The 12,911-nt window shown below is 34.6% G+C and overlaps 1 protein-coding gene and 1 long non-coding RNA gene across 48 annotated transcripts in view; one reads left to right on the forward strand and one right to left on the reverse strand.

Annotated features, from left to right (window-relative positions):
* PPP1R9A (protein phosphatase 1 regulatory subunit 9A) overlaps positions 1–12,911 on the forward strand; it is a 389,180-nt gene that overhangs the window by 264,619 nt on the left and 111,650 nt on the right. The gene's annotated exons all lie outside the window — the stretch shown is intronic.
* Positions 1–12,911, reverse strand: part of PPP1R9A-AS1 (PPP1R9A antisense RNA 1) — a 178,641-nt gene that overhangs the window by 136,163 nt on the left and 29,567 nt on the right. The window contains exons 2-3 of one of the 4 annotated variants that reach the window (NR_183326.1): positions 4,639–4,677; positions 3,093–3,235 (exon numbers count right to left, since the gene is read on the reverse strand). The exons of 2 other annotated variants lie outside the window; for them this stretch is intronic. This is a non-coding gene — a long non-coding RNA (PPP1R9A antisense RNA 1). The remainder of the gene's footprint in view (positions 1–3,092; positions 3,236–4,638; positions 4,678–12,911) is intronic. One more of the 4 variants, NR_183324.1, reaches the window with a different exon arrangement.

A 12,911-nucleotide genomic window follows, 5' to 3' on the forward strand; every position in this document is an offset into this window, starting at 1 on the left:
ATTAAAATACAAACTATCACAAACCAATATTCCTCATGAATGTAAATACAGAAGTCCAAATTGGATTATAAATCCAATAGCCAGGTGACATTTATTGTTTGAATGTATGGTTGATTTAATGTTTATGAATCAACCCATGGAATTTTTCTTACTGATAGGATTAAGGTAAAAGTCATTTGTTCTTCTCAATAGATGTAGATTTTTTTAAAAAAGCTCTCAGGAAACTTGAAATAGAAGGGAATTTCCTCAATGAGATAAATAGGATCTTAGTGAAGCCTGCAACTAATAACATTCTTAATGGTGAAAGACCTAATGCTTTTCTCTTGGTATTAAGAACAATGCAAATATCTCTACCCTCACCACTTCCATTCAAGATTGTACCAGAGGCCATAGCTAATTCACTGAGACAGTAATAACTAATTGAAAGCCCATAGAATGAAAAGGAGGAAGTAAAACTCTTTATTCACAGGCAATATGGTCATTTATACACAGATGACCATGAAGAAAATCCTAAAGTATCTACAAAAGATGCTACTTGAACTGATAACTGAGTCCAATCATGTTATAGAAGATGAAGTTGTCCAATCATGTTACAGAAGATGAAGTTGATGTGCAGAAATCAGAGTGTATATACTATCAACATTAATAATTGAAAATTCAGATTGAAAATAACATTGATGACAGCATCCAAAATATTAAATACTTAAAGGTAAATCTAACAATATATTGCAGACTTCCACACTTAAAACAACAAAATATTGCTGACAGAACACAAAGACAATTTAAATGAGGGAAGAAGTAGACCATGTTCAATGTATTATAATATTCAATATTGTTAAGATTTCAACTTTCCCTAAATTAGTCTGTAGATTAAACATAACCCTAGTAAAAATTTTAGAAGATTATTTTGTAGATGTTATTGTTAAAAAAAATTTCGGAGGACTTTCCCTGCCTGAAAGCATCACTAATCAAGGCAATCTGGTTGAGGTATAAGAATAGTAATATAGATTAATGGATCAGAATAGAACTTTGCAGTGCAGACCTGCGCAGATATGAAGAATTGATTTTTTTTTATAAAGGTACCAAGGTAATTCCGTGGAGGAAATTATAGTTAACTCAAAAAATGGGGCTGAAAAAATTAAATAGTCTCATTGAAAACAAAATACAAACCAAAAAATGCCTTGACCTTCATCTCACAGTATATATAAAAATTAACTTAGAACTGATCACAACCCTAATTGCAGCAGCTAGAACACTAAGATTTCTAGAAAACAGGCAAAAATCTGTAATTTTAGATTTAGTGAAATAACTCAGGAATAGAAAATCAAATACCTTATATTCTCATATATAAATTGGAGCTAGACATGGGTATCCATGGACATACAGAGGGAAACGCTGTAGGTAATATACACTGGGGACTCTAAAAGAGGAGAACTGGAGGAGGATGAATGTTGAAAAATTATCTGTTGGGCACAATGTTCATTGTTAAGGTGATGAGTATGCTAGAAGCTCAAACCCCACTACTATGCAATATATCCATGTAACAAATCTGCATATATACCCTCTAAATGAATGAAAAAAAATTTTTAATGCAATATAACAATTTAAAAATTTTTTTAGGGCACAAAAGCAAAAAGTGTAAGAGGAAATAATGATAAACTGCGTCAAAATTTAAAACATTTGTTACAAAATACCCTTAAGAAAATGGAAAAACAAGCCACTTAAGAAAATGGAAAAACAAGCCACAGAATGAATATCTGTAAAACAATTTTCTGATAAAGAACTCTTGTAATTCAATAAGATTATTATAACAACTATATAATGGAGTTTTTAAATGTGCAAGTCCTATTAAAATGTACAAATCACTTAAAGAGACAGTTCATCAAAGTAGATATACCATTAAACATGAAATGCTGCTTAACATTATTAGTTATTAGGGGCAGGTAAATTAAATCCACAATGAGGTTCTACTGTACACCTGCTAAAAAGGCTGAAATTAAAAAGACTGATACCACTATGCATTGATAAGCATATGGACTGAGGTTCACATTTATTTGCTGATCGGAATGCAAAATAGCACAACCACTTTGCAGAACAGTCTGGTAGGGTTTTCCAAAGTTAGGCATACACTTATACCAGCTAGCAATTCCGCACCTCGGTATTTACTCAAGAACAATAAAAACATATATTTATATAAAGACTCATATTTGCATATTCATAGCAGCTTTTTCATAATAACTAAAAACTGGAAACAACTCAAGTGTTCTTTAACTGATAAATGGATATACAAATTGTATTATATCCCATATAATGAAATATTTCCCAGTGATATGAAGGAACAAACTACCAATCCTTTCAATACCATGTATGACTCTCAAAACCATTATACTGAGTAAAAGAAGCCAGATGCCAATAGCCTGTGTACTGTTTGAATACATTTGTATAAAATTCTGGAAAATACAAAACTGTGCTAATAGCAGATCTATGATTGCTCAGAATCACGAAGGGAGGGAATTGTCTGCAAACAAGAAGGAAGGACCATTTCTGAGGTGATGAAAATGTTCTATATTGTGATTACTGTATTTCTTACACAACTATGTATACATTTATCGAAACTCCTCAGATTATACAACTTAAATTTGATCAATTTTAATGTATATAGATTGAACTCAGTAAAACTGAATTTTAAAATGTGAGATAATAGCTATCGTTAACTTAAAAAGCACCATACGAATTGATTATTGTTGATAGTGATAGTGATGTGAAAAGGACTGTGTCTCTTTAACAAAGGCAGATGTAATCAATGTGAATTTCATTAGCAATCTCTAGATTTTATGGTTCTGTGTACTTTTACTTTTAAAATATTATTATTGACTTTTTACCAGAAAATATTTTCTGTACAATTTCTTGCATCTAATTTTTTTATCAAACATGAATTTGCAACATAATTTTTGAAAACTCATGTTTCTTGAGTCTACAGCTATAAACAGGACCTTGCCTGTCTTGTTGACCACTGGCATAGTTGGTGTACCTATTGTTGTGTAACATATTACTATAAAATTCAGTGACCTGAAACAACTAACTTTTATTACCTCATGGTTTCTGTGATCCGCTTCCCAGCGAACTCATTTGGGCCCCTCTGCCAGGCCTCTCACAACATGAAAACTGGCTTCTCCAAAAAGTCATACAAGAGAGTGCCCAAGATGCAATCTGCCATCTTTTTGTAACCTAAAATCTGAAATGACATCCCGTCAGCTCTGTATTTTATTTGATAAAAGTGAGTTAATATGTCCAGCCTACATGCAAGGATAGATAATTACATTCAGACTTAAATAAAAGGAGTCAAGGATCACTTGGGTCTATGTTAGAGGCAGCCTATCATAGTACGGATCAATAACTAGTTGGATGGATGGATGGATGGATGGATGGATGGATGGATGGATGTGGAGGGATGGTCAGTCAGGCAGACAGATGATGGGCAAATAGATTAATGCTATACCACAATATAATTTAATTTATGTTGCATACCCAACTTAATCCTGAAAAACTTGAGACTATTTAGGAAAGATTGACCAGGATGGTGAGAGGTATAACTATTTTCCTTCTATATATAAAAGTTAAAATATTCTATAACCCTTTGCCTTTAAAAAAAAAAAAACTTAAAAGACATGGTAATAATTATAAAGCATTTGAAAAAGTGAACTCTGGAAAAAGGATTAGATTTTTTTTTAACTCCAGACAATCATTCTAGTACTGTCAGCAATTTGGCAAAATTTGATATAAGACAGAGATTTTGTTTCAATTTGAAGAAATTTTCAATGATTTATATGTTTGCTCTTCAGTGTCATTCACATTAAACTTTAAATGCTTTCAAGAAACTATCTGCTACCCATGATCAATAACTATGCATTCATTTCACTTTTATCCCTAGCATATGGGTTTAATAACTTTGACAGGGAACCATATAACTTCTGATGGTCATAATTTTCTAGGAATTATAACAATAGAAAATAATTAATCTGAGGGTCTTAAATATTTATCTTTTTTGGAAAAGGTTAAAATACATAAAAGAAAATATAGGCTGGGATCATGGCCGACAGGAGGCAGGACTAGATTGCAGCTCTGACTTGGACAGACAGAGCAGGATGTGTAGGCTCTCATCATGAATTTTAGCTCCATAACGACTGCAGGAATAATCAGAAAACCCGAGAGGACCCACAGACCCTCTGAAAGAAGCAGATTTCTCCTGCAGGACCCAGGAGACACCCCAAATATTTTGCTAGTATCCATGGCTGAGAGACCCATAGATGGTTCACATCACAGGACTCTGTGCACACAACCCCCAGTACCAGCCCGGAGCCTGGTGGATTTGCTGGGTGGCTAGATCCAGAAGAGAGATAACAGTAACTACAACTTCACTGTTAGGAAGCCATATCCACAGGAAAAGGGGGAGAGTACTACATCAAGGGAGCACCCATGGCACAAAAGAATCTGAACAACAGCCTTCAGCCTTAGACCTTTCCTCTGACAGAGGCTACCCAAATGAGAAGGAACCAGAAAACCAACTCTGGTAATATGACAAAACAAGGCTGTTTAACACCGCCCCTCCCCCCCAGAAAAAAAATCACAGTAGCTCACCAACAGTGGATCCAAACCAAGAAGAAATCCCTGATTTACCTGCAAAAGAATTCATATTAGTTATTAAGCTAATCAGGAAGGCACCAGAGAAAGGCAAAGCCTAATGCAAGGAAATCCAAAAAAAAAACAATACACGAAGTGAAGGGAGAAACATTCAATGAAATAGATAGTATAAATAAAAAAACCCCAAAACTTCACAAAACACTGGACACACTTATAGAAATGCAAAATGCTCTGGGAAATCTCAGCAATAGAATTGAACAAGTAGAAGAAATTCAGAGCTTGAAGATAAGATCTTCGAATTAACCCAATCCAACAAAGACAAAGAAAAAAGAATATGAAAATATGAACAAAGCCTCCAAGAAGTCTGGGATTATGTTAATCCACCAAACCTAAGAATAATCAGCGTTCCTGAGGAAGAAGACAAATCTAAACGTTTGGACAACATATTTGGGGAAATAATTGAGGAAAACTTCCCAGGCCTTGCTAGAGACCTAGACATCAAAATACAAGAAACAGAAAGAACACCTGGGAAATTCATTGCAAAAAGATTATCACCCAGGCGCATTGTCATCAGGTTAACTAAAGTTAAGATGAAGGAAAGAATCTTAAGAGCTGTGAGACAAAAGTACCAGGTAACCTGTAAGGCAAAACCTATCAGATTAATGGCAGACTTCTCAGCAGAAACCCTACAAGCTAGAAGGGATTGGGGCCCAATCTTGAGCCTCCTCAAACAAAACAATGATCACCCAAGAATTTTGTATCTAGTGAAACTAAGCATCAAATATGAAGGAAAGATACAGTCTTTTTCAGACAAACAAATGCCAAGAGAATTCACCACTAACAAGCCACCACTACAAGAACTGCTAAAAGAAGCTCTAAATCTTGAAACAAATCATGGAAACGCATCAAAACAAAATGTCATTAAAGCATAAATCTCACAGGACCAACAAAACAAAAATACAAGTTAACAAACAAACAAAAACCAGGGTACACAGGCAACAAATAGCATGACGTATGGAATGGTACCTCACACATCTCAATACTAACATTGAATGTAAATGGCCTAAATGCTCCACTTTAAAGAAACAGAACAGCAGAATGGGTAAGAATTCACCAACCAACTATCTGCTGCCTTCAAGAGACTCACCTAACACATAAAGACTCACATAAACTTAAAGAAGCAGAAAAAGGCATTTCATGCAAATGGACACCAAAAGCGAGGAGTAGCTATTCTTACAAAAGACAAAACTTTAAAGCAACAGCAATTAAAAAAAAGACAAAGAGGGACATTATATAATGGTAAAAGGCTTTGTCCAACAGGAAAATATCACAATCCTAAACATATTTGGGAGCTGCACACCTAAAAGAGGAGCTCCCAAATTTATAAAACAATTACTGCTAGACCTAAGAAATGAGATAGACAACAACACAGTAATAGTGGGGGACTTCAGTACTCCACTGACAGCACTAGACAGGTCATCAAGACTGAAAGTCAACAAAGAAACAATGGATTTAAACTATACCTTGGAACAAATAGACTTAACAGATATATACAGAACATTCCATCCAAAGCCACAGAATATACATTCTATTCAACAGTGCATGGAACTTTCTCCAAGATAGACCATGTGATAGACCACAAAATGAGCCTCAATAAATTTAAGAAAATTGAAATTATGTCAAGCACTCTTTCTGACCACAGTGTAATAAAGCTGGAAATCAACTCCAATATAAACCTTCAAAACCATGCAAATACATGGAAATTAAATAACCTGCTCCTGAATGATCATTGGGTCAAAAATGAAATCAAGATGAAAACTTAAAAATTCTTCAAACTGAATGACAGCAGTGACACAACTTATCAAAACCTCAGGGATACAGCAAATGTGGTGCTAAGAGGAAAGTTCATGGCCCTAAACACCTACATCAAAAAGACTGAAAGAGCACAAACTGATCATCTAAGGTCACACCTCAGGGAACTAGAGAAACAAGAACAAACCAAACCCAAACCCAGAAAAAGAAGGGAAATAACCAAGATCAGAGCAGAACTAAATGAAATTGAAAGAAAAAAAATACAAAAGATAAATGAAAAGTTGGTTTTTTGAAAAGATAAATAAAATTGATAGACCATTAGCAACATTAACCAAGAAAAGAAGAGAGAAAATCCAAATAACCTCAATAAGAAACAAAACGGGAGCTATTATAACTGACACCACAGAAATACAAAAGATCATTCAAGGCTACTATGAATAACTTTATGTGCATACACTAGAAAACCTAGAAGAGATGGATAAATTCTTTGTAAGATACAACCCTCCTAGCTTAAATCAGGAAGAATTAGATACCCTGAACACTCCAATAACAAGTAGTGAGATTGAAATGGTAATTTAAAAATTACCAACAAAGAAATGTCCAGGACCAGAGAGATTCACAGCAGAATTCTATCAGACATTCAAAGAAGAATTGGTACCAATCCTATTGACACAATTCCAGATAGAGAAAGAGGGAACCCTCCCTAAATCATTCTATGAAGCCGGCATCACCCTAATATCAAGACCAGAAAAGGACATAACCAAAAAAGAAACTGAAGACCAATATCTCTAATGAACACAGATGCCAAAATCCTTAACAAAATACTAGTTATCCAAATCCAACAGCATATCAAAAAGCCAATCCACCATGATCAAGTGGGTTTCATACTAGGGATGCAGGGATGGCTTAACATACATAAGTGAATAGATGTGATACACTACATAAACAGAATTAAAAACAAAAATTACAAGATCATCTCAATAGATGCAGAAAAAGCATTCAACAGACTTCAGCATTCCTTTATAATTAAAACTCACAGTAACATTGGCATGCAAGGGACATACCTCAATGTAGTAAAAGCCATCTATGACAAACCCACAGCCATCATAATACTCAATGGTGAAAAGTTGAAAGCATTCCCTCTGAGAACTGGAACAAGACAAGGATGCCCACTCTCACCACTCCCCTTCAACATAGTACTGGAAGTCCTAGCCAGGGCAATCAGAGAGGAGAAATAAAGGGCATCCAAATCCATAAAGAGGAAGTCAGAAGTGTCACTGTTTGCTGATGATATGATCATTTACTTCAAAAACCCTAAAGACTCCTCCAGAAAACTCCTAGAACTGATAAAAGAATTCAGCAAAGTTTCTGGATACAAAATTAATATACACAAATCACTATCTCTTCTATATACCAGTAGCAACAAAGTGGAGTATCAAATCAAGAACTCAACCCCTTTTACAATAGCTGCAAAAAAAAAAAAAAAAAATACGTAGGAATATACCTAACCAAGAAGGGGAAAGACCTCTACAAGGAAAACTACAAAACCTGCTGAAAGAAATCATAGATGACACAAACAAATGGAAACACGTCCCGTGCTCATTGATAGGTAGAATCAATATTGTGAAAATGACCATACTGACAAAAGCAATCTCCAAATGCAATGCAATTCCCATCAAAATACCACCATCATTCTTCACAGAATTAGGAAAAAACAATTCTAAAATTCATATGGAACCAAAAAAGCCTGTATAGCCAAAGCAAGACTAAGCAAAAAGAACAAATCTGGAGCCATCACATTACCTGACTTCAAACTATACTATAAGGCCATAGTCACCAAAACAGCATGGTACTGGTATAAAAATAGGCATATAGACCAATGGAACAGAATAGAGAACCCAGGAATAAACCCAAATACTTACAGCCTACTGATTTTCGACAAAGCAAACAAAACCATAAAATGGGGAATGGACACCCTTTTTAACAAATGGTGCTGGGATACAGATTGGCTAGCTACCTGTAGGAGAATGAAACTGGATCCTCATCTCTCACCTTATATAAAAATCAACTCAAGATGGATTAAGGACTTTAAGAGCCAAAAGTATAAGAATTCTAGAAAATAACATTGGAAAAACCCTTCTAGACATTGGCTTAGGCAGTTTTGGGTTTCATGACCAAGAACCCAAAAGCAAATGCAATAAAAACGAAGATAAATAGCTGTGACTTAATTAAACTAAAGAGATTTTGCACAGCCAAAGTCACAGTCAGCAGAGTAAACAGACAACCCACAGAGTGGGAGAAAATCTTTGCCATCTACACATCTGACATAGGACTAATATCCAGAATCTACGACAATCTCAAACAAATCAGCAAGAAAAAAAATCCCATCAAAAAGTGGGCTAAGGACATACACAGTTCTCAAAACAAAAGAAGATATACAAATGGCCAAAAAACATGAAAAAATGCTCAACATCACTAATAATCGGGGAAATGCAAATCAAAACCACAGTGTGATACCACCTTACTCCTGCAAGAATTGGGCATAATCAAAAAATAAAAAAACTGATGTTGACTGACATGGATGCAGTGATCATGGAACACTTCTACACTGCTGGTGGGAATGTAAACTAGTACAACCACTATGGAAAACAGTGTGGAGAGTTCTTAAAGGCCTAAAAGTAGAACTACCATGTGATCCAGCAATCCCACTACTGGATATCTACCCAGAGGAAAAGAAGTCATTACATGATAAAGATACTTGCACACACACTTTTATAGCAACACAGTTCACAACTGCAACATCATGGAGCCAACGCAAATGCCCATCAATCAAAGAGTCGATATAGAAACTGTGATATATATATAGATATATCTATCTATATATATAGAATATATATAGAATATATAGAGAAAATATATAGAATATATATAGTATATAGAGAATATATATAGAATATATAGGGAGAATATATATTCCATCATATATATAGAATAGAGAGAATATATATAGAATATATATATAGAATATATAGAATATATATAGTATATATAGAATATGTATGGAATATATAGAGAGAATAGAGAGAATATATATATTCCATCATATATATAGAATATAGAGAATATATATATTCCATCATATATATAGAATATATATAGAGAATATATATATTCCATCATATATATAGAATATATATAGAGAATATATATATTCCATCATATATATATAGAATATAGAGAGAGAATATATATAGAATATATATATATTCCATCACATATATATAGAATATATATATTCTGTCACACATATATATTCCATCACATATATATAGAATATATATATTCCGTCACATATATATAGAATATATATATATTCCGTCACATATATATAGAATATATATATATTCCGTCACATATATATAGAATATATATATATTCCGTCACATATATATAGAATATATATATATTCCGTCACATATATATAGAATATATATATATTCCATCATATATATATACATATATGATAGAATACTACTCAACCATATAAAGGAATGAATTAATGGCATTCACGGCAACCTCGATGAGATTGGAGACTATTATACTAAGTGAAGTAACTCAGAAACAGAAAAACCAAACATTGTATGTTCTCACTGATATGTGGGGGCTAAGCTATGAGGATGTAAAGGCATAAGAATGATACAATGGACTCTGGGGACTTGGGAAGGTTGGGGTGGCAAGGGATAAAAGACTACAAATAGGGTGCAGTGTATACTGCTGGGTGATGGGTGCACCAAAATCTCACAAATCACTAAAGGACTTACTCATGTAACCAAACACCACCTGTACCCCAATAAACTGAAAAATAAAAAAATAAAAATGTATATATAGGCTAGGTGCAGTGACTCACACCTGTAATCCCAACACTTGGGAGCCAAGGCAAGAGGGTTGCTTGAGACAGGAGTTCAAGGCTGCAGTGAGCAATGATGGCACCACTGCACTCCAGCCTGGGCAACAGAATGAGACCCTGTCTCAAAATAAAATAAAATATAAATGAATGACACATGAGTTTTTTAATAGATATGCACGTTTATATTTGGATATACACCTGGATGTGTAATTTCTATACATGGAAGCTTTTGTTTCTTTTATATTTACTTAAGATCATTTCCATTTGAAATGCAATAAACCTCAAAATGTTTTTACTTTATTTATATCATTTCATTGTTTTTGTTGCCACTATAGTACAAGGGGCAATTGAGAATTTCACTTTTTATTAGAGCTTTTAGTTTTGTGATTTTGAATAATAAAGTGTTATATGCAGTGGAGGGCAGTGAGGGAATCTTCATATTCATGGAAATCATCCACCATTGTGGATTTTGTACTTATTCCTAAGACTACCGCTTGCCCTAAGATGAGAGAAGCAACTACTATGGATTTTGGATCATGGATGTTAGATCTCCTTAATGTTGAATATATCAGAATGGCCAACAACCACTGTTGAGAGAAAGAGTAAAACCAGCAAGGATTTCAAAAAAACTAATTAAATGTGATTTTGCCTTGATGAGGCATTTTCTGGTGTCACTATATACAGATTAACATTTTGCAAACTACCTTTTTAATGTTCATATACATTAATATTTAAACCTAAGACATCAAGGCTAACTACTAAGCAGAGAAATGTTGTTCCTGGAAGGGATGTAGTATTTTTGGAAAATATCTTAAGTTTATGCCTGTTAAATAGTGTGTAGTTCTTGAAGTAGCATGTGTTAGGCAATTTTTTTTTTTAAGAATTCAACTTTTTGTTTACAATGAAATATAGCATAGAAAAATACTCTTTCTTTTTTTTTTGAGACAGGGTCTCTCTCTGTTACCCAGGCTAGAGTGCAGTGGTGCAATCTCGGCTTACTGCAGCCTCTGCCTCCCAGGTTCAAGTGATTCTCCTGCGTCACCCTCCCAAGTAGCTGGGATTACAGGCACTCACCACCACGCCTGGCTAATTTTTTTGTATTTTTAGTAAAGATGGGGTTTCACCATGTTTGCCAGGCTGGTCTCAAACTCCTGGCCTCAGGTGATCTGCCCACCTTGGCCTCCCAAAGTGCTGGGATTACAGGCATGAGTCACCCTTCCTGGCAAAAATATTCTTTTTTTTTTTTTTTTTTTTGAGACAGAGTCTTGCTCTGTTGCCCAGGCTGGAGTGCAGTGGCACAATCTTGGCTCACTGCAACCTCTGCCTCCCGGGTTCAAGTGATTCTCCTGCCTCAGCCTCCCGAGTAGGTGGGACTATAGGCGCCCACCACCACACATGGCTTTTTTGTATTTTTAGTAGAGACGGGGTTTCACCATGTTGGCCAGGATGGTCTCGATCTCTTGACTTCGTGGTCCACCCGCCTCGGGCTCCCAAAGTGCTGAGATTACAGGCGTGAGCCACAGCGCCCAGCCAAAAATATTCTTATAATTAGTATTGGGTTAGATAGGAAATTCATTTCAAAGAACTAATGCCTATAATTAAATTTAAATATTTCAGATCCAGCTTTCTTTATTTTAAAAATTTTTTATTTTATTCTATTTTATTTTATTTTTAAATGGAGTCTCACCATGTCACCCAGGCTGGAGTGCAGTGGCCAGATCCAGCTTTCAAAAGCAATCATCTTCATAGATGAATTTTTAAATTTTTTAATGTTAAGTATGTAGTAAGGTATATTAATCTAGCTCTCAATATAGAAAGGAAAAATATGTAAGAATATGCAGTTACAAATAAGGAGCAAGAGTTTGGTTGTCTAGGACTTTTAACTCTTAACTACTGTCAGCAAACTAGTGAAAGTGGCTGGAGTTAAATTTACCACTACATGCTCATCGAAATCAAGTTAAATATTAAAAAGCTATCAAATTCAGAGAAAAGCCATTTAATATAATCAAACAGAAACAATTAGGCACTGTGCTTTTCTAAAACACTCTAGGATCTTGTGACCCATAGTTCACGAGGGTATTCCAATATTCAAGTATAAGTTGTGTGCATCTGTTTTTATTTTTTAGAGATATATGTTTCAGGTATTAAATGTACATACAATAAATATTTGTTTGAATGAAATTATTTGTTATATAAGAACTGGTAACTATATCCTGGTGTAGCTTTTTCATTTAAAAAAATTATTTCATTTTATTTATTTATTTATGTCAGTAGTTTTGGGGGAACAGGTGGTGTTTGGTTGCATGAAAAAGTTCTTTAGTAGTGATTTCTGAGATTTTGGTGCACCCATCACCCAAGCAGTGTACACTGTTCCCAATGTGTAGTCTGTTATCCCTCATCCCACTCCCACCTTTCCTCCCAAGTCCCCATAGTCCCTTATAACGTTTTTATGCCTTTGCATCTTCATAGCTTAGCTCCCACATATAAGTGAGAACATATGATGTTTGGTTTTTCATTACTGAGTTACTTTACTTAGAATAATGGTGTCCAA

This window comes from Homo sapiens, chromosome 7, assembly GCF_000001405.40.
Source record: "Homo sapiens chromosome 7, GRCh38.p14 Primary Assembly".
In the NCBI taxonomy this organism is placed as follows: Eukaryota; Metazoa; Chordata; class Mammalia; order Primates; family Hominidae; genus Homo; species Homo sapiens.